Genomic DNA, 22,995 nt, shown 5'->3' with positions numbered 1-22,995 from the left:
ACTTTGACTTAAAATTATTGTTAGCCTAAAATATTTATCTCAGAGAATAAAATGTCACTTTGGAATGTGAAAGGACTGGGAGAAAGGCTCTCAAAGTACAGAAACATGGAGGGCACACATTCATTCAGACCTTCTGTTTCATTCAACAGATCTTTTCTCTTTGATTCAGACAGTGAAGACTTACTGAAGTGAGTTACAAGGGATAAAACAATATTTTATTTATTTATTTAGAGACGGAGTTTCGCTCCTGTCTCCCAGGCTGGAGTGCAGTGGCGTGATCTCGGCTCATTGCAACCTCCGCCTCCCGGGTTCAAGCCATTTTCCTGCCTCAGCCTCCCACGTAGCTAGGATTACAGGCGCACCACCACGCCCGGCTAATTTTAATTTTTATTTTTTTGTAGTTTTAGTAGAGATGGGATTTCACCATGTTGCGCTAGGCTGGTCTCGAACTCCTGACCTCAAGTGATCTGCCTGCCTTGGCCTCCCAAAGTGCTGGAATTACAGGCATGAGCCACTATGCCCGGCCATAGTTAAAAGCGGCAACCATCTGAAGTTTTAAACAACAATATAGTCAGACAGAAAGTGCCCTGTGGGCACCCTTAAAGCCATTGCTTTCTGTGACTGTAGTTGTCTAATTTTTTGATTGCTATACTACATTCACAAGGGGAGAAAAGGGTGGCTCATGACATCCGTATCTGAGTCTGTGAATGGAGTACTTGCACATGGATCAGGAACAAACAGGGACATGAGAATATAGAGGACAAGGGCCTATCTGGATGTTCTCACGGGGTGCACTCAGCAGGTGGCAGGGGTTATCGTTCATTCAGGAGGAAAATATCTCGCAGGTCCGGGAGGCCAAGGACTCTCATCTCTGCCAGATGTGCCTGGAATGATGGCCCCATATTTCTGTAGTGACGTAATAAGCACCATCACCCAGGCCTAACGTACCTGTTCTAGGTTCAGAAATCTTTGCTGCCCCTGCACTTGCTCTGTCTGCCTTTTTCTGTAGGCCAGGCAACTTCCCTAAATGCAGATGTGAGCTGGAGGTGGGGGGATCATTTCCAGGTAGAGGGAGTAGTAACCAGGAAACCCTGAGGCAGGAGGGACCAGACAGCATGCCCCGAGGATTGCGGAGAGTGGGGGACTGTGTTAGGTTCCCAGGAACACTCCTGATTCACCGTCCTTGGCCCTCCTTCCTTCTCACAGCCCATTTGTTCGTGCCTGTATCCGTCCTCTCATTTAGCAATTTAACACACAGCTGAGGTCGTTGGGATGGGCAACATTGTTGACCATTGTGCTTGAGGAGCACAATTCAGTTCATAATTCCTGCCTGCGATGTCTCTCGAATCTGGGTCTTCCTTTTTAGTGTCCTTCCCACCACTCTAGTTCAGACCCTCTTGAGAGTTTTACGGTGACCTTCTCGATCATCTCCAACTCTATTAGTGCCCCTGACAGTGTGTCCTACTGGGATAAGAATTCCCAGTAACCTTCGCTCCTGCTCTCTCATTCCTCTTTCCTCCTCCCTTTGTCTTTGGTCACTGCGCCACCAGCAGGATGGCACAAACAAGGGACCATACCTCAAACCCTGCCAAAGGAAAGAAACATCAGAGCACTCACCCACTGAAAGGAAAACAGAATCAGAAGGCTGAGAATAGGGCCGTGGTGGGAGTAGAGAGGAGGTTCAGTTTTTGACAGAAAGGAAATTGGCTTGAGATGTGGGAGGCAGCAGTGTAAGGGTACTGTTAGCAACTATTGATGTATATGATGTTTCTTTTGCTACCTCTGCCTTTTCAAGAGATTTCAGTAAATGTTTACCTTATTTCTACAGGCTTTCTGGAGTCAGATTTGTGTTGTTGTGCTTGCTGTTGCTGTTTTAATATAAAACCTCACTGACATGGAGCTTAAGGAGAGAATGTGAAGGGGTTTTGATGAGGTTATGCTGAACAATGGCAAATCAACGTGCTTAATAAGTAGCATGGGGCTGGTCTCTTCCTGGTCATAAATCTGCTGTGGTTTCTCTTGATTTTCCAGGAAGGTCCTAGCTTCCTTGGAAAGAAAGGCAGATATTCAAGTCCTTTTGTGCCACCTCCTCTTACCTTTCGGCAGCTCTCAGGAGCTACTGTAAGTGCCTCTGTGCCAGTCCCAGGCTTGGTACCCCCTCCTTACAGAGGCCATTCTGCCTGTGCTTAACGCTATTCCTCCCTCTCCTGAAATGCACTTCTCTTACCTCTGCCTGCTGGAATTCTATTCATCCATCTAGGCCCCCTTCCTTTGTACTGTCTTTGCAGTTCGGTTATTTATGCGTTCAGATGCGTCTTAAACCATAAATTCACTTTGCAAATATCCCCAAAGATCTGATGAAAGTTAAAAAAAACTAGACATACTTAAATACTGCAGGGGCTTGCGTAATAGTGGGATTTTATTTGTACAGCCCAAATTCTCTCTATTGCAAGTCTGTGGCTATTATATCTGCCCACTTAGACAGTTATACCTGGTGAGTAACAATTTATTTCACATAAATAATAAAAAATTTTTGCTGCTTTGCATATCACCTGGGAGGGGGGTATGGATGGGTACTTTTTTTTAAAAATCATTTTTTGTTGTATATATTTAAAGTGTGCAACATGATATTTTGTTATATGTAGGCACAAGAAATGATTACTACAGTCAAACAGATGAACATAGCCATCATCTTCCATTTTAATATTTTTATTATGTTATTTGCAGGGTTACTTGAAGCTATTTATTTTACTGAAAACTGTTAGTATGGGGAGAGGTCAAAGTGAAAAGGTTATATATGATTTTTCACCAAGTAGATTTGGCAGGTTATATATATGACCAGACGTCTGTTGGGCATGGGGCTGCTAGCTAGCAGGATCATAAATACTCATTCTGAGATGCCAAAGCTAACTTAGAGGAATGAGTTTCTGCCCATTCACAGTATTTCTTGTAGGAATTGTGGCCTTTCTGCAGGAGCCTATTTATCGAGCTGCTAAGTGAGGAAATTCTGTGCAGAGGTCAACAGAATCACCCACTGTGGGGTTCTCTTTGCCTGAAATGACCCAGTCCCAGGAGACTACTTTCCAATCACATATTGGTTAGGAAAACCTAGGATTAAAACAATTCCTTTTTAATGGCAATTTTTTTCTTTGGCCTTCAGTTTTATTGCTGGAAATGACATTTGAGAGCAGATTTCTAAGATCTTTGTTGCTGTGTAGGAGGATAGAAAAACGTGGCCAGGTGATATTTCCTTCGACTATTTGCCATTGTAGAAAACGTCACAGTAGTGGGTAGTAAGTAGAGTGTCTGGAGTTTAAATATTTCTTATAACTCCATTTATATATCTAACAACATAAACTGCCAGGAAATAATAGCTACAATATTTATATCATACGTGAAAGATGTGTAGTCTTTTACATATTAATAAAATTAAAATTTTATTAAATGTGTTTTACTTGGAGTTATTGTTAGGCTTTTTGATTTGATGATATCGTTCATTGATGATTTCTTTCTCTGTTGAACACAGATAGCGTTTTTTTCTTCCTACAGCACACCTCACACTGAAACTCATATTAGTTTGATATTATATTATTCTATTTGAATGTGAGCCTCTTTAAGTTGAAGACTAGGGGTTACTCGGTTTTTAATATCCCATAGCCTACCAAAGTCATTGTGTAAATTCTTCTTTTAGGAAGAATTACTTTTTTCAGAAGAAATTGAATTTTAAAAAAGAAACTTTGCAGGTTTCTTTAACTTTGAAACTAAAATAATTTGAATTTTAAAATATTTATTTATTGATTTATAGATACATAATTGTGGACATATAGAATTAAAATTTTTATTTTCCCCAAAGCTAAAGCAGACCTATTGTCTTATTTACTTCCTACCATTATGAGGCATAAGCTAACTTTTTGGCATTTGGTTATATTTAGACAATACAGTATTTACTGTCCTTAATACCTTCTAGAGCAGTAGTTGTTAAAATGAGGCTCCTGGGATCATCTGTTTCAGAACCAGCTGAGAGGCAAGTTTCAAATGTAATTCTTGGACTTCACCCTGGATATAATAAATCTGTATGAGTGCAGCTTGTAGATCTGCATTTTAACAAACTCTTTGAGAATTCTCATGTACCTTGAATTTTTGGGACCATCAGAATTTTTTTAACTAAGGAGAGTGAGGAGGAGAAAGGTGGCATATTGGAATCTCTTGGAAAGTTTCTTCCAGATAGAGATGGTTTCTATCTGCCCTCCCCAAACCCAGCCACACTCCTCTGGTTCAGTAGCTCACTGTCTGCCCTCCCTCCATCCTTGCATGTACCCACAGCTCTACAGCTATACGTTCCAGTGTGTTTTGAAAGATAACCTGTGAAAAAAGGCTTCCTTGGTCTACCAGCTTTGGGAACATAACGATTAAGCCCCCTTTTTTAGAATCACTATACAAGCATGCTCTGGTTCGGATATTTGTCCTCTCTGAACCTCATGTTGAAATTCGATCCTCAGTGTTGGAGGTGGAGGCTAATGGGAGGTGTTTGGGTCATGGGGGTGGATCCCTCAGGAACAGTTTAATGCCCTTCCTGGGAGGTGGTGGGAGTGAGTTCTTGCTCTATTACTTTTCTTGAGAGCTAGTTGTTAAAAAGAGCCTGGCCCCTCCCCTGCCCCTTGCTCCTGTCAGGCCACGGGTTCTCTGCACACAGCGGCTCCCCTTCACTTTCCATCATGAGTGGAAGCAGCCTGAGGTTCTCCCCAGCTGCCGATGCCCAATCTTGAGCTTTCCAGTCACCAGAATTATCAGCCAAGTATGCTTTTTTTTCTTTAAAAATTACCCAGCCTCAGGTATTCCTTTATAGCCACACAAAACGGACTATGACAAAGCACTACGAAGTCCTGCAGTAAAGGAAACTTTATACAAATCAGTACTATCCAAATTTTTTTTAAATTAGGCATTTATTTGCATGTTGCATATCTAGGATATGAAGGAGCCCACTTTGGAAACATTGTTTCAGCCAATGCCTATAAACGAGCCCGACTTTAGCCGCTGGGGGACACCAGGAAAAAAAGACTGGGCTGCAGGAAAGCAATGAAGAGAGAAGGAAAGGTGAACAGAGGAGGGCTGAGGGACAGGGCAGGGACATGGCAAGAGAGTTGCTGAGACACGACCACATACTAATTGCTAGTCAAATAGGCACACTGTTATTTGGTGGAAAAATACCTGGAAACAAATTCAGTAAAACCATAAACTACTCATTCAAATTTAAATGCTGTTGTTGAAGAGTGTGCCCCATTCTGAACTTTTTTTTTTTTTTTTTTTTTTTTTTGAGATGGAGTCTGACTCTGTCACCCAGGCTGGAGTGCAGTGGAGCAATCTTAACTCACTGCAGCCTCTACCTCCCAGATTCAAGGAGTTCTCTCACCTCAGCCTCCCAAGTAGCTGGGATTACAGACACAAGCCACCATGCCCAGCTAATTAAAAAAAAAAAGTATATGTGTGTGTATATATATACGTGTGTATATATACGTGTATATATATATGTAGTAGAGACAGGGTTTTGCCATGTTGGCCAGGCTGGTCTTGAACTCCTGACCTCAAGTGATCCACCTGCCTCAGCCTCCCAAAGTGCTGGGATTACAGGAGTGAGCCACTGCATCAGGCCCCAGTATGAACATTTTATACTTCTTCTTCTTTTTTTTTTTTTTTTCAGACATAGTCTCACTCTGGTTGCCCAGGCTGGAGTGCAGTGGTTCAATCTCAGCTCACTGCAGCCTCGACCTCCCACCTCAGCCTCCCAAGTAGCTGGGACTACAGGCACATGCCACCACACCCAGTAATTTTTTTGTGTTTTTAGTAGAGATGGGTTTCGCTACATTGCCCAGGCTGGTCTCAAACTCCTGACCTCAAGTGATCTGCAGTCTTTTGCCTTCCAGAGTGCTAGGATTATAGGCATGAGCTACCACAACAGCCAATATTTTATACGTCTGTTAATTCTACAGAATCCATAATTACTATTCATCTTATGTATGTGTCTACTCACGCTTGGTAGGCTCTGTTTTCTCTGTAAACATAAGGCAAATTATGTGAGCCAACCGTTAAAAAAAGTCTGATCTTTATTACATAATGGTTACATGTGAGAAAACAGGAAAACAAAAACACCGAAAATTGAAACCCCAAAAGGTGATTATTTCTGGCTGATAGTTTTGTAAAAAGTTTATTGACAGTATCAGATTGGCTATTGATCATTTCCATGAGACAGAAAGCACTGGTTCCAGGCTTGCTGTGGAATTGGGAAGGGGTGGATCTCTGAGTTCCAGGTATCTTGTCTGTGCCACAGGGAAGACCCCATCATGAGGCTTCTTGTGAAGATATAACAACAGAGGAGATGTGTGGAGCACCTGACCAGGCTCCTGGCCTAGGAGCTGCAGGCAGGCGGCTTCTTACTCTCTCCAAGCACCACCCGGGCATCAGCCATGGTGAACCTGAAAAGATGAATATCATCATGACTGCTTCAAAGCTTGGTTATATTTGTTTATAGGAGATTTTCTATTGCCAGCATATATGCCTGATGCTGAGAAAGGAAAAACAACAAGTTACACGTTGGGTTTGGAATACTATCTGTTTGTGTAACTTTTTCTTATAACTATCTTTTGTGATTTCTAATAGATTTGAAAACAATGTCTCTAACAGATTTAAAAACAAAGCAGGGTAGGAGTCATACTCTGTACTTTAAGTCAAAAGAATAAAAATTACTACATTAAAGAATTACTCATTACTACTGCATTAATTGATGGTGTTAAAATAGCCACACCTTAAAGAATTCTTTATAGATATAGCAAAAATAAAAGATACTTCACAAGAAAGAAAGGAAATGTAACACATAGGTTAGGTTATGTGCACAATGAGCAATAAACTTGCTTATCTCATTTGTTGATGAATTGAATTTTGGTTCAGTTGTGTTACTGTATCATTACTGTTGAGAGCTTTATCCATCCAATCTTTTTTTTTTTTTTTTTTTTTTTTTTTTGAGACAGAGTTTCGCTCTGTCGCCCAGGCTGGAGTGCAGTGGCGCGATCTCGACTCACTGCAAGCTCCGCCTCCCGGGTTCACGCCATTCTCCTGCCTCAGCCTCCCGTGTAGCTGGGACTACAGGCGCGCGCCACCACGCCCGGCTAATTTTTTGTATTTTTAGTAGAGACGGGGTTTCACCGTGTTAGCCAGGATGGTCTCGATCTCCTGACCTCGTGATCCGCCCGTCTCGGCCTCCCAAAGTGCTGGGATTACAGGCGTGAGCCACCGCGCCCGGCCTATCCATCCAATCTTCTAAACCCATACATATTCCATTCTTAGGAAAAACATTTCTTATGGAGTGCTTATTCTATTTTACTATCTAATCCAATATTTTACATTACTTTGGTAAAATTTTTAACATATGGTAATCAGATAGTAATTACACATTTCAAAAACATTCACAATAAGGTATTTTGAAATATACTGGAAAACTCTTGCTGCATAAAGAATTTCATCGCCTCATCTAGGAAACAACATGCTGTATGTAGAAAAAGTTAGTTTAAAATTGTTATAGAAGATTACAAGGAGAGATATAAGCTTTCTTGTAGCCAATTTTTGCATCATTTCCAGAGTATATAAAATATATGTGACTAGATCACCATTCCATGCAGGATCTACCACCATCCGTGTTTTAAAATGTACCTGGGATTTGTTTTAACCAGAGATAGTATGGACACAGACGCATGGAAATGACTATCATGAAGGAAGAAGTTTGTCTTCACGGGTCCCTAAAGACAGGAGCACAGTGCACCACACAAGGCCACAGGGGAAGCACCAGGGCGGGTCATGAGGAAGGAGGAACGGGGAAAATGTGGGCAAGAGGTTGTACTGTGATTACCACAGGAAAGCCAAGGCACGGCAGGGTGAGTGGGCGTAGGATTGGCTGGTTTGAATGATTTCGGTGGGCTCTGGCACTAAGGGCTGCCTCTAGTTGTCGAGTACCTGGCCCTGGAGCAATTAGGGCAGAGGAATGTTGGCCCAGAGTCAGAAAGCCCAGTAGAGGAGGTGGTGAAGGTGTGGGCTCTGCATTGGCTGCTTTGTAAATGAAAGGTGAGCTTGCACTGTTTCTTTACCTTGTCCTTTAAATTTATATATTCATTATCTGCTGCCTATCTCAGCTACAGAATCTCAATCTTGACCGTTTCCTTCCTAAACCTGTGTCCTGTCTCTGTGAGTTTACTCTCTCTAGGAATGGCTACCCTGAGAGGGACATTCTCTCCAGGGTCAGCAAAACCCGAAGATGTCAAAGCATTGGAAATACAGAAAATAAAAATGCATGGTTAATACAGCTCACAGGGCAAAATCCAATATCCTCTGCCAGCTTCACCTGTGTTCCAGCCCTCCATCGCCTCTTCCTGCCCATGATCCCACCGGGACTCCAGTTGACTCCAGTGGGCATTTGTCGGCCTTTATCTTTTTTTTTTTTTTTTCTGAGACAGAGTCTCGCTCTGTCACCCAGGCTGGAGTGCAGTGGCGCAATCTCGGCTCACTGCAAGCTCCGCCTCCCAGGTTCACACCATTCTCCTGCCTCAGCCTCCTGAGTAGCTGGGACTACAGGCGCCCGCCACCACACCTGGCTAATTTTTTGTATTTTTAGTAGAGATGGGGTTTCTCCGTGTTAGCCAGGATGGTCTCGATCTCCTGACCTCGTGATCCGCCCGCCTCAGCCTCCCAAAGTGCTGGGATTACAGGCGTGAGCCACCGTGCCCGGCCCTGTCGGCCTTTATCTTACTTGGCCTGCTGGATACTTTGCTGCAGTTGACCCATCTCTTCCTCGTTAAATGATTCCTGATTCCAGTTATTCTTGCTTTGTTCTACTCTTCTCTGACCATTCCTTCTTTCTCTCTCCAAACATCTCTTCTTCAGCCTTTAAGTGTTTGTGTACCCCAAGGTTCCATGCTTATCAATGGATTTTTCATAAAATCCATGAAAGATTCCAAAAGGTATCTTCTTCCTTTTTCTTTACCTTGTCCTTTAAATTCGTATACTCCTTATCTGCTGAATATCTCAGCTACAGAATCTCAAACTTGACCCTTTTCTACCTAAACCTGTGTTCTGCCTTCAAACTTGCTCTCTGTTCTTTATTTCTGGTCAAAGTAAAGGCAAGTTTTTGATTGTTAGAGATTGTGCTTCTAGGGTGGTTAATTTACTGCTGGATTAACAGCCCTCTGGAGTTTCCCAGTTGCTTTGTTTGTTGATAAATGTCACTGCCTAATCCAAGAACATTATTAGGGCTTGATCCTGTGTTTTCCGCAAGTACCAATCTATTGTCATTTGGTTGTCATTCTTAATAACTGATTACACATAAAAATCTTATCACGGTGTGAAATGTGGCACATCTATTTGTTTTTGAAATGTTTTAGCTTTTTTGTGTGTGTGTGACGGAGCTTCACTCTTGTTGCCCAGGCTGGAGTGCAATGGTGCGATCTCGGTTCACTGCAACCTCCACCTCCCGGATTCAAGCGATTCCCCTGCCTCAGCCTCCCGAGTAGCTGGGATTACAGGCATGCGCCACCATGCCCAGCTAATTTTTGTATTTTTAGTAGAGACGGGGTTTCTCCATGTTGGTCAGGCTGGTTTCGAACTCCCGACCACAGGTGATCTGCCCGCCTCGGCCTCCCAAAATGCTGGGATTACAGGCATGAGCCACTGCACCCGGCCCTGTTTTAGCATTTTTATAAGAATCTCGTTTATCTTTTTAAGTGTCTATGGAAATGATAATTTTAAATCTGGAAGGGGGATTAACTAGATTAAACCAGAAACTGAATAAATCATTTTCATGAGATCAGTCTTCAGATGAAATTGCTAAAATTTAAATTAAACATGAATTGTTCTGTGGTTTAAAACAAGAAAAGAATCTACTTTATAACATGATTTTGTATTTTTTCAAGTTTTCTGGACTTATTTAATATTTTGTCCTTTTGTGAATATGCAATCTAATGTTAGAATTTTATCATAATATTGTATAATATAGGAGGACTTTGAAAGGACTTTAGAGATTATTTAATTTGTCTACCTGAATTTATAAAAGAAACCCAAGGCATCTTTGGCGGTCTGGCTGGACACAGAATTTTACTTTGGCTGAGAAGGCAAAGCATGACTGTCCAGTCCTAAGAGAGGACATAGGGCACAGTTGAGTACAGAGTCTGATTTGATATGACTATGTGTTTGAAGTCAGATCATTTAAAATAAATTTTATGAAGTTCTTATAATCAGTGAAATGTTACAGATGCTGCACCTTCCAATTTTTTTTTAGAGATGGAGTATCACTCTGTCACCAAGGCTGGAGGGCAGTGGCATGATCAGAGCTCACTGCATCTTCTAACTCCTGGGCTCAAGGGATCCTTCTGCCTCAGCCTCCCAAATAGCATGGACCACAGTCATGCACCACCATGCTCAGCTCATTTTAAAATTTTTTGTAGAGATAGAGTCTCGCTATGTTGTGCAGGCTGGTCTCAAACTTCTGGCTTCAAGTGATTTTTCCACCTTGTCCTCCCAAAGTGCTGGGATAACATTGTGCCCAGCCCCCAGAATATATACCATTAAGTACCATAGTCCAATTTTAGAAATAATTTAAACACTGGATATATAAAAATCAAGTTGCTCACTTATACCGTACACATTTTTCCTTGCTCTGTCAGCTTCGAGGGGCTAGAAGCAGCCACACCGTAGTCACCAGGAGCACACCAAATGCCCTGATCTTGGTTTCTAATGCCATTCTCCAGTAAAAGAACCAGGGTTGATTGGAGAAATCCCTAAAACCAAGACTAGGACAGAAAATAGTAAGAAATAAGCCTAGAGTATCTGATAATGCCAGAAAGTTTTTAAAAAGTGATAACAAATACAAAGCAATAAAAATAACAACAAAAACTTACTAATGACAGAATCAAAGGAACACAGGAGCCAAGTAAAACATTTCATGATGGCCAGAGCCAGAACCATCTGAGACACAAAATAAAGAAAGTACTATTAGATTATAACACAAAATATAAAATATTCATCAGTCATTGCTTGTGTAAATAAATGAGTAAATAAATAACTGGAGGAGAAAAGACAAACCTCTTATGCGGAAGAATTCTAAATAATGCATGTAGATACTATGTCCTCAAAGAAGGGACACAACTCCCCAGTCCTCAAGTGTGGGCTGAGCATAGTGACCTCCTTCTGAGAAGTACAGTACGGGGCTGGGGGACTGGGGTGGGGAAGGAGTAGCTTTGCAGTAAGAATCCTGACACACAGGGACTCAGCCAGGAGGTCAAGGTCAACACCAGCAAACATAAATTACACTAAAAGTGTGCACCCTTCACAGGATGTGATGAAAATGGCATTTGCCTCGGTGGTCTTCCTCCCTAACACCCGTAATCTCAGTTTAATCACAAGGAAAACATCAGGCAAATCTCAAATGAGGGACATTCTACAACATACCTGACAAAGACTCCTCCAAATGCTCAAAGTTACCAAAACAAGGAAATTTTGAGAGACTATCACGGCCAAGAGGCGCCTAAGGAGACATGATGACTAAGTGCAATGTGGCATCCTGGGACAAAAAAGGACATCAAGGAAAAGTGACAGAAATCTGAAAGGAGTATGGACTTTAGTGAGTAAGAATGTACCAGTATTGGTTCACTAATTGCAAGAAATGTGCCATACTAATGTAATGTTAATAATAGGAGACACCAGGGCAGGGCATATGGGAATGCTTTGTATTATGTAATTTTTCTGTGCATCTAAAACTGCTCAATAATAAAAGACTTATTTTAAAAGTTTTATATCACTCTTGAAGGTGGTTGACATCTTCCAAAACTTTGGGTTTTAGTTTTAGGATATAAATACTGCCTTTTAAAGCTATTTGTCACAGAAAGAATAATTATAAATAAATAATTTATTTTTTCAAAAGCTACTTAGAAAATAAGAAAAAAATCCAAATAACACTGCTACAAAAACTTTAAATAATATAAATAACCTGGAGTGAGTGATGTTTTAAAAATATTTCTGGTCAGGCAAAGTGGCTCACACCTGAAATCTCAACTCTTTGGGAGGCTGAGGCAGGAGGATCTCTTGAGGCCACGAGTTCAGGACCAGCTTGGGCAACAAAGTAAGACCCCCTTCTCTACAAAAAGTAAAAAAAAAAAAAAAAAATGAATTAGCCGGGCATGGTGGCATGCCTGTTGTCCTAGCTACTTGGGAGGCTGAGGCAGGAGGACTGCTTAAGCCCAGCAGTTTGAAGCTGCAGTGAGCTATGATTGTACCACTGCACTCCAGCTGTGGTGACAGGGCAAGACTCTGTCTCTAAAAAAATAAAAATAAAAATAAATATTTTCTATTTTCGGAAGTTTTTCAGTCAGGATATTCTTTGTAGGTGGGTCTTTACAACTTGCATTGGCTAAATTGACTAGCTGATTTCTTTCACAGGAGGTTGTAATAAAACCTCACATTACAGAATATATTTATTTATATAAAAGTTATGCCCCATTGAAATTTTGTAAATAAGTCATGTTTTTTGATGTCTTGGTTAAATCATTTAAAAATAATTTTGAGCAAATTATTGTGAAAATAATTAACTTTTATAATGCAGATAGCTAATTCCAATTTATTCAGTGAATTCAGATTTCATACATTAGGAATTTAATTGTGTTCCTCTTCCTCAAAATACATTGAGGATCTAGTCCCCTAGTGCCTCAGAGTGTGGCCCTATTGGGAAATAGGGTCATTGCAGATGTAATTAGTTATGATGAGGTCATAGTGGAGTAGAATTGGCCCTTTTTCAGTATAACTGATGTCTTAATAAGATGATGGCCATGGGAAGATAGAGAGACACAGGAGAACTCCATGTGGCAATGAAGGCAGAGATTGGAGTGAAGCATCCACAAGCCAAAGAATGCCAAGGATTGCTGGCAGCCACCAGAGCTGGAACAGGCAAGGAAGGATCCTTCCCTCAAGACTTCAGAGAAAGCATGGCCCTGCCCACATCTTGATTTCAGACTTCTTGCCTCCAGAACTGCGAGATAGCAAGTCTCTGTTGATATAAGCCATCCCATTTCTAGAACTTTGTTATGGCAGCCCTACAAAACAAATACACAATATATGGTCGTTTCTGAAGGCAGAATCCGTCTGTACTTATTCCATATGTAAAGTTTGAGAAAGTGCTTGCAACTACTCAACTCTGTCTCTGCAGCTCAAAAGCGCCACACAAAATTATACCAATGGGAGTCTATCCAACATACTGTGTTCCAGTAAAATAAAAGTCTGACTGTAAGTCTGGGCTTGGTTTGCATTTCTAACATGCTCCCAGAAGATGCTAACACTGCTAGTCTGTAGAACGTAGCAAAAATTTAGAAGATAATAAGCAACCAATTTGAGTTTACTTTTTTATCCTCTGCGTAATTTACAGCCTAAATGGCATTTAGGTCTCATTAAACCACCCAGCTAATGTGTGTGTAAAAAAGAGAGTTACACACATACATCCCTCTATTTAAATATCTTAAACTGTAATAGAAGAAGCATGATATAAAAACATGTATTTACAAATATTTATACACTTACAAGTATATACTGGTACAGATGTTATGTAACTACATAAGGAAAGAAGAAGGCACACATTTTATGACAGTTTATTTTTAAATGCTTTTAATTTAGTATTTTTATGTATTTATTTATTTTTGAGATGGAGTCTCACTCTGTCACCCAGGCTGGAGTGCAGTGGCGTGACCTGGGCTCACTGCAACCTCCGCCTCCCTGGTTCCAGTGATTCTCCTGCCTCGGCCTCTCGAGTAGCTGGGATTGCAGGTGTGTGCCACCACGCCTGACTAATTTTTATATTTTTAGTAGAGATGGGGTTTCACCATGTTGGCCAGGCTGGTCTCGAACTCCTGACCTCAAGTGATCTGCCTGCCTCAGCCTCCCAAAGTGCTGAGATTACAGACATGAGACACCGTGCCCGGCCAATTTAGTATTTTTAAAAAAATATTTCTTGAATATATTTAAAAGTCAACTTTAATATATTTAAAAGGTCATACTAGAGTCGGCCCTTTTTCAATACAACTGGTGTTGTTAATAAGATGACAGCCATGGGAAGATACAGAGACACAGGAGAACTTCATGTTACGATGAAGGCAGAGGTTGAAGTAGCTTTTTCTACTATTATATATTTAATATATATACTATATTTAATATAGTATAGCTTTTTCTGCTATATATTTTACAAATTTGAATTTTTTGTCATTTTGAAATTAAATTTGAATTTTTCTCTGAAAACAGTTCTCATCTATAATTCTCTCAGTACTGCTGTAATAAAGGTAATTGTTCTTATTTTTGAAATGGGAACTTGTTATACAATGATTAGATTTATTAGTATTGATTAGTAATGAGATTAGTAGTGTCTTGTTTTTAAAATAAATAACTCAAAGAACTGTACAGCAAACATTTTGATTTAAGTACCTAATGTAATGCTAGATTGAAACATAAAATAATGTTCCATAGTACCTTACAAAGGACTGAGGATCAATTAACAAGGCTTGTCAACAGTAAATCATATCAGAACAAATTATCTTTATGGAAGATAGTCAAATTATATGCAGGTAGAAGCAAACAGTAAACATTTTCAATTATTTTGTTTTCTGGTTGTACTGCATTATATTTTTTATTATTTCACATGATCATGGCTCATTTTTAAACAAGAATATAAGAATAAGAGATAGTATGCCAACATATATATGTACATATATATGCACATCTATTTCTTTAAAAGATTTTGTAAACTTACAATTGAGGAGGGCTGCAGATGGCAACTGTTTTAGTAAATAAAAACTAGAAACTTTTACAAATTGGATGAATGAGATAGTCATTTATTCAAATTGTTCCAAGATAATGATCATGCATTACCTAGAGATCTGTTTGATTTTAACCCTCCCAAATAATGTAATCTTTTATATAATTGTAATTATATATCACAGGAATGAAGCATACATTTTATATTATTTTTTAATTGGCAAATAATGGGTACATAGTGATGTTTCAATATATATAATGCACAGTGATCTGGTCAGGGTCATTAGCATATCCATCTCAAACAATTATCATTTCTTTGTGTTGGGAACATTCAATATCCTCCTTCTAGCTACTTGAAATTGTACAGTATATTATTGTTTACTGTAGTCATCTTACAGTGCTATAGAACACTAGCACTTCTTCCTCATATCTAGTTGTCATTTGAAGCTTACATTTTATTTTATTTCTTCTTCTTTTTTTTTTTTCTTTTGAGACGGAGTCTCGCTCTTGTCGCCCAGGCTGGAGTGCACGATCTCAGCTCACTGTAACCTCTGCCTCCTAGGTTCACGTGATTCCCCTGCCTCAGCCTCCTGAGTAGCTGGGATTACAGGTGTGTGCCACCATGCCCGGCTAATGTTTTTGTATTTTTAGTAGACACAGAGTTTCACCATGTTGACCAGGCTGGTCTTGAACTCCTGACCTCAGGCGATCCACCGGCCTCGGCCTCCCAAAGTGCCGAGATTACAGGCATAAGCCACTGCACCCGGCGTAAAGTTACATTTCAGACTTATGCCGTCCAACACCACATCCACAAGCCATGAGGCTACTGAGCACTTGACATGTGGCTGGTTCAAACTGAGATGTGCTGAATGTGCAAAATACACCCTGAATTTTGAAAACTTAGTGCAAAAAAGTAAAGTATCTCATTAGTAATTAATATTGTTGAAAACAAGTTGAAATGGTAACACTTTGGCTATACTTAGTTAAAATAAATTAATTTTAATTTTAATTTTAGAAATGAGGTCTCACTATGTTGCCTGGGCTGGTCTCAAACTCCTGGGCCCAAGCGATCCTCCAGCCTCATCCTCCCAAAGTGCTGGGATGACAGGCGTGAGCCGCTGTGACTGGCCAAATTATTAAATTAATTCACACATTTCTTTTTACTTTTTGAATGTGGCTACTAAACATTTAGAATTACATGTGTGGCTCCCATTTATCTCATTGTAGATGCTGCTCTCTTAGAACATTTTCCATCAGAGAGAAATCAACTAGTTTCATTGTTTGCGGGGAGTTTTCTTTTTACTTAGTTATTTATATTTATTTATTTATTTATTTTGAGATGGAATCTTGCTCTGTCACCCAGGCTGGAGTGCAGTGGTGCGATCTTGGCTCACTACAACCTCCACCTCACAGGTTCAATTGATTCTCCTCCCTCAGCCTTCCGAGTAGCTGGGATTTCTGGCACACGCTACCACGCTAGGCTAATTTTTTTGTATTTTTAATGGAGATGGGGTTTCGCCATGTTGGTCAGGCTGGTCTCGAACTCCTGACCTCAGGTGATCCACCTGCCTCAGCCTCCCAAAGTGTTGGAATTATGGGCGTGAGCCACCATGCCCGGCCTGGGGTAATTTTCTTATATTCAGTTGTTTATTTAATATTTTGTGGATCAAAAACTACTGCGTGCATCTAGTCACTAAATGCAAATTCATTTTCAATCAGTTTTTTATTGAAAAATTAATACAGATTTATATTCAAAAAAGTTAAAAGTAATAAAAAGGGTGTGCATGGAAAAATATCTCTTCTCTCCACCCCAGAATTCTGCTCCCTGGCGCCTCCCACCATTTTAATTTGTTTTTACTGCAAATAGGAGTGTGCTGCAGGGCAGGCATTGGCAAACTTTCTTTAGAAAGGGCCACATAGTCAATATTTTGGGCAGATAATCAGTGTGCAAAGAAAAGTCAGCACAGAGACAAAGGATCTCTCAGCAAGGCAATCTTTACTTTCTGCAGAAAGGGTGCCCCTCACAGATGGAACAATGGCAACAATACACCTGAACAAAGGAAAAGCAGACATATTTATCCCTTACGCATTTGGTTTGTCCTTACTGCTGTGTCCTGCATCCATTGGCTGGAGCTGGACCTCACAGTCTTAAACTGATACCCGATTTGCTAATAACCTAAAATTTCCCTAAATAGGTAAGTGCAAGGGAGAACCAAGAAGAAAAGGAAGTTGCTTATGAAAGGTTTAAGGAAGCAATAACATTTCCAAATAAGGAAGGGGCATAAGCTATGAGCTAAGACTTGCCTGGGCCTGTCCAGACATGCCTGAGTAAGCCAAAGCAACTAACTGGGCTAAAGTATGAGAACTAATAGTTGATAGGAGGCTTTGGAGTAAGGAGCTATTATTCCTAGCGTCTATTATTTTATTTTTAAAGCAAGACGAACTTTAATGAGGAACTTTTCTGCTTTCTACAGTGAGCCATAGTATCTGTGCAACAACTACTCAGTTCTGCCCTTGTAGTGAAAAAGCAGCCACTGGCGACCCCTAAACAAATGGATGTGGGCATGTTGCAGCAGAGCTTTATTCACAAACACAGGAGCAAGCTGGATCTGCCTCAGGAGCTGTTGTTTGCTAGCCCCTGCATAGGCCAGTGCTAGTCAATACAGTTACAGTCACGTGCCACAAAAGGACGTTTCTGTCATCTACAGACTGCATATACCATGGTGGTCCTATAAGATTATAATACTGTATTTTTACTATTCCTTTTCTATGTATAGATATGTTTAGATTCACAAATACTCACCATGGTGTTACAGCTACCTACAGTATTCAGCACAACAGGTTTTGTAGCCTAGGAGCAATAGGCTATACCATATAGCTGAGTGTGCAGGAGACTCTACCACCAAGGTTTATGTAAATGCACTCTATGATGCTCCCACAATGGAGGAATCTCCTAACGATGCATTTCTCAGAACATATTTCCATCATTAAACAGCACATGACTGTAAACCTTTTAACTTATCTGTCTGCATCTATTATTTGCCCTCTGTACTGTAAACCAAAAAGTATCTGAGACAGGTCTCAATCAATTTAGAAAGTTTATTTTGTCAAGGTTAAGGATGCACCCATGACACAGCCTCAGGTGGTCCTGCTGACATGTGCTTAAGGTGATTGGGGTATAGCTGGCTTTTATACATTTTAGGGAGACATGAGACATCAATCAATATGTGTAAGATGTACATTGGTTGGGTTCAGTAAGGTAAGACAAGTTGAAGGGGGATGGGGGAGGGGAAACGGGTTTGAGGGGAAAGGGGTGTGTGCAGGGAGGGAGGTGGGTGTGGGGGGGGTTCCAGGTCAAAAGTAGATAAGAGACAAAAGTTTGCATTCTTTTGAGTCTTTGATCAGCCTTCCACTGAGTACACAATTTAGTGTGGCTCAGTGAATCTGCATTTTTACATAAACAATAGGGCAGAGGAAGCAATCATATGCATTTGTGTCAGGTGAGCCTCAGAGGGATGACTTTGAGTTCTGTCTGTCCTCCATCCACAAAGAATTTTCTTGTGGGCAAATCGTGAGGGATGTATGTAGCTTTTTATCTTTGTAACTATCTTATTTAGGAATTAATGGGAGGCAGGTTTGCCTAACATAGTTCCCAGCTTGACTTTTCCCTTGGCTTAGTGATTTTGGGGTCCTGAGATTTATTTTCCTTTCACAATACTTAGGCATAATTGTTTTTTATTATTAAAAATAGTTTATGCTGGGTTTGGTGGCTCGTGCCTCTAATTCCAACACTTTGGGAGGCTGAGGTGGGAGGATCGCTTGAGCCCAGGTGGTGGAGGCTTCAGTGAGCTGTGATCACACCATTGCACCCCAGCCTGGGCAACAGAGCAAGACCCTGTCTCAAAAAAACAAAATTTATTTATTAAAAAATGTTTGAATGGTGTATATAATTTTGTTTATTTTTATTGTATGTCTTTAGAGTATGCAGCATAATTTTTGATATATGTATACAGAGTGCAGTGGTTACTGTGGTCAAGCAAATCATATCCATCATCTCACAGTTGCCCTTTTTTTTTGGTGGTGAGAACTCCTGAACTCTGCTCTCTTAGTCATTATCCCATATACAACACATCATTATTCCCTGCAGTCCTTCTGCCATGCATTAGACCTCTAGACTTGCTCATCCTACCCATCTGCAGCTTTGTATCCTTTGGCCAATTCTCCCCATTCCCTCCCTCCCTCAACGGTCTTTTGAAAATAGCTTAACCGTACCATTCCTTTGCCTAAAGCCTTTTGACTTCTCATCACCCACAGAATTAAGCACAAAGTTTGTGTACGACTTAACTCTAAAGCCTACCTGCACCTGCAGCCTTGTCTCACCCACCTCTTCTTCAGCAGCTCTGGACATTTCCCCCAATACTTGAACACGCTGCAGTCTTCCCCATTCCCATCTCTTCTTACCTTCTTATCTCTGGCTTGTTACTTCGGGTGTCAACTTAAACACCACTTTTCTGTTTCAGCTAAATCAATCTGTTGTACATTCTTGTATTCCTATGTGATGTTTGTGTTTTGAAGTTAAAATTCAAGTGTATTGAAATTCTGGTTTTCTTGGTGGGCTGTACTGAGTACAAGGAGGCACTGATGTTTCCATTTGAGCGGTAGCAACCCTCTTGGCTTCCTATTCCTTGAACATGTGCCAGGTGCCTCTGCCAGCAAAGCCGGGTTGTACAGGGGGACAAGACCGCATCCCTTTCCTCAGGAAGCCATAATTGTGGGGAAGACAGACACACACGGTGCCCCATCATGCTAACCAGAATGTGACATCTGCTTTGATAGAAGTTATAAAATGTGCTATGGGGTGGAGATGAGGAGGGTAATTTACTTAAAATATGTAATTTTCTACACACCTGAGTGTCATCATTGTCACAGGGTCTAGAGATTAAAATTATACTCTAAAATGCTTTTGGAAATAGAATTATTTATAAAGTCTTTGAGCATGCCTTAACCACAGTAGGTGCTTCTGCTGTACTCAGCTCATTCATTTTTCAGAAAGCACCAGTGTAACTACCTGGCCCAAATATTGACACCACAGAAGCCAATTTGTTGTTTTTGGTTTCTGAGAAGTACAGGGGAAAAGACCTATGTTCGGGCTGGAGCATTATTGAAGAGAAGAGGAAAGGTTTATATGAAGTACTTTCATTTTACTGCTGCTTTGTTTTTCAGGATTAGTTTTAATTGTTTGTAAAGTGCAGGTGTTCATTGTCAAATGGTGGGGGAGCTCCGATCTCTCTGCATTCCTGCGCACCCACACAATCACGCCCTGAACCAGGCCCTGAACTCACATAAGGCTGCCCTGAACTGGGGAGCTCCCTGCACAGGGAAGTGTTCCCACGTCCCTCAGGAGCTCATGGCATGTAAGGAACAGTTAGAATCCCTGCATCTGCATTTACCAAGCCTCAGTCACCACTGCCTTGTGCTGGCGAAGTCACACTCATCACCGTGATGGCTCAGACTCTCCTAGAGGGGGATGACAAACCTTCACTTCCCCATTATATTCTTAAAATGTTGTAAGTTTAAATGTATACCTACCAACAAACCTTGAGGCTCAACTATTTTACTAAAGTTTAAGTTTTCTCTTCCTTTGAAAGAGTTGCACATGCTCCCGATTGTTTGTATAAATTGCATTTTCTGGATGGTGTAGTTTTAGTGAGTAGAAGGTAAAGCCTGAGATACAATTTTATTTTTAAATTTTATTATGTATTAAGTGCAAAACCTTCCAAGTGGGAGAGATCATGACTTATAGTATATTTCTGTTTGTTTGTTCTGGCTACTGGGGAGAAAGAAGATTATGGGGAGGAGAAGAGGGGTTAGGAGGCCACTGCCAAGGCATGGTCACAAAAGGACGATGGCTTGGGCCAGACTCGTTGAGGGAAGGAGAAAGAAGTGAGTGGGTCTGGAATAATTTGTTGAAGGTGAAATACATAAAACTAACTCATGGTTTGGGTGTAGGGGTGAGGGAAAAAGGAAGTCAAGCATAACTTCTTGAGCTGGGGCCTGATCAAGAGTGATGCCACTTCAGTCAGTCTTCAGTGGACTGAGGAACACGGGAGAAACAGGTCTGGGCAGAGGAAAAGGAGACCTTCCATTGCGGCTGTGCACTTTTGAGAGATCTGTAAGGTACCCTTCATGCCGTAGAGCAAGCAGTGAGTTGTACTGCAGTTTTGGAGCCCAGGAAATGGTCAGGGCTGGAGAAACCAGTTTGGGATCAGCTAAATAAACTGTCACAAATCCATGTGTTTAGTGCCTTATTAAGTAATTAGCATATTAAGGATATTTTTAAATGGGAGAAATGCATTCAATAAATTCTGATGGTTTTTTTTTTCTTTTCAGAAATATTCCCAAGAGACTCTAACTTAAAAGACAAATTCATAAAGCATTTCACAGGTAAGTACAAAATGTATCAGTGATTCCATTAACTAAATAAAAAGACTGTGTGCAGAATACTATGTCAGGCACTAGGGATATGAAAATAAATGTCTGTAGGGGACTCATGGTCCAGTTGGGGAGATGGACGGATGCTACTAACTTGTGTTAACTGTAATGTAAACCAGCCCTTAATAAGTAATAGAAGTATGAGCCACTTTTTAAGGATACACAGGAAGTGAATAAAGTGGCCAAGAACTACCAAGAACGGCTTGTAGTAGACACAGTATTTAAGGTGGGCTTTAAGGGATGAATAAGGCTTTCCCGTGGTGAGGGAGACCTTCTGTTCAGAAGGAGTGCATTGAGTAAGCCATGAAGACACCGGGTGTGGTTTAGGCAAGGACAGGTGTGCACAGACTGTGAGTGGGCTTAGGTAGGGACGTATTTGGCCCTGGTCAAATATGTGGCTGGAAAGGTAGGTTGGAGTCATGTTGTGGATAATCTTAAGTGGCATGCTAGGGAATTCAGACTATGTTCCCCAACCAGGTGGGGGTAGGGAGGGAGGGGGCAATATAAATTTTTTGAACAGGGAGGGACAGACTTTCATATGCTACATCTTTTAAAAATATATTTATTTATTATTATTATTTTTTTCTGAGACAGAGTTTCGCTCTTGTTGCCCAGGCTGGAGCGCGGTGGCACGATCTCGGCTCACTGCCGAGTTCAAGCTATTCTCCTGCCTCAGCCTCCCAAATAGCTGGGATTACAGGCATGTGCCACCACACCTGGCTAATCTTTTGTATTTTTAGTAGAGATGGGGTTTCACCACATTCGCCAGGCTGGTCTCAAACTCCTGGCCTTAAGTGATCCACCTGCTTTGGCTTCCCAAAGTGCTGGGATTACAAGTGTGAGCCACCACGCCCGGCCAAAAATTTTTTATTTTTGAGACAGGGTCTGGCTCCATCACTCAGGCTGGAGTTCAGTGGTGAGATCATGGCTCACTGCAGCCTTGAACAAATAGGCTCAAGGGATACTTCCACCTCAGCCTCCGAAGCAGCTGGGACTGCTGTGCCATCACACTCAGCGAATTTTTTATTTTCTCTAGATATGGGGTCTCACTATGTTGCCCAGGTTGGTCTTGAACTCCTGGCTCAAGTGATCCTCCTGCCTTGGCCTCCCAAAGCATTGGGATTATAGTTGTGAGCCACTGCACCAGGCCCACCTGCCACATCTTGAGCACAGATAAATACTGTGCCATGACACTATTTGGTTCTTCATATCAACTTTGTGAATCATTTGCACATTGTCCTATGTCCCAATTTCTAGCAAATCACTGAATTATTTTAAACAGTACATCCCCATATTTACTATTGGCATTGCCTCTCTGTTCCCAGTCATCCCAGCTACTTTTTTCTTGTTTTACACCTCAGGCCTGTAATGTGGGAAAGATGTGGTTTGCCCACTTAGTCAAGTCCAAGGGCCCTACCTGTTTATTAACGGAAAGGATGGTCCTGAGGATCAAGTGGAGATGCACCTGCAGGGCACAGGGATGTGTGAGGATGTTGAGCCTTTCGAGGCAGTTGTGAGCGACATGACCGTAGACCCCACGAGAAGCAGACTCCAGAGGGAGGGAGGGATGAACATTTTGTTGTTGTTGTTGTATGTGTATTTTTTTTAAGAGATGGGGTCTCACTCTGTTGCTCAGGCTGGAGTGCAATGGTGCAGTCATAGCTCACTGCAGCCTCC

At 41.1% G+C, this 22,995-nt stretch overlaps 1 protein-coding gene across 1 annotated transcript in view, besides 1 other annotated feature; it reads left to right on the top strand.

Moving 5' to 3' along the window:
- Positions 1 to 22,995, top strand: part of ALKAL1 (ALK and LTK ligand 1) — a 31,394-nt gene that overhangs the window by 1,769 nt on the left and 6,630 nt on the right. The window contains exon 2 of the mRNA NM_207413.4: positions 21,217 to 21,270. Coding sequence (NP_997296.1) covers positions 21,217 to 21,270 — 54 coding nt within the window. The remainder of the gene's footprint in view (positions 1 to 21,216; positions 21,271 to 22,995) is intronic.
- Positions 16,645 to 17,844: an enhancer, noted in NCBI's record as "MED14-independent group 3 enhancer chr8:53458378-53459577 (GRCh37/hg19 assembly coordinates)". NCBI's record gives its function as "activates an origin of replication core promoter dependent on BRD2, BRD4, P300/CBP and CDK7 cofactors, and independent of MED14, by STARR-seq in HCT116 cells {active_cell/tissue: HCT116}" and the evidence as "EXISTENCE:reporter gene assay evidence [ECO:0000049][PMID:35650434]".

Source organism: Homo sapiens, chromosome 8 (assembly GCF_000001405.40).
Source record: "Homo sapiens chromosome 8, GRCh38.p14 Primary Assembly".
Taxonomy (NCBI): Eukaryota; Metazoa; Chordata; class Mammalia; order Primates; family Hominidae; genus Homo; species Homo sapiens.
Note: the sequence above shows the minus strand (reverse complement) of the source record. Positions and strands in the feature narration are given on the sequence as shown.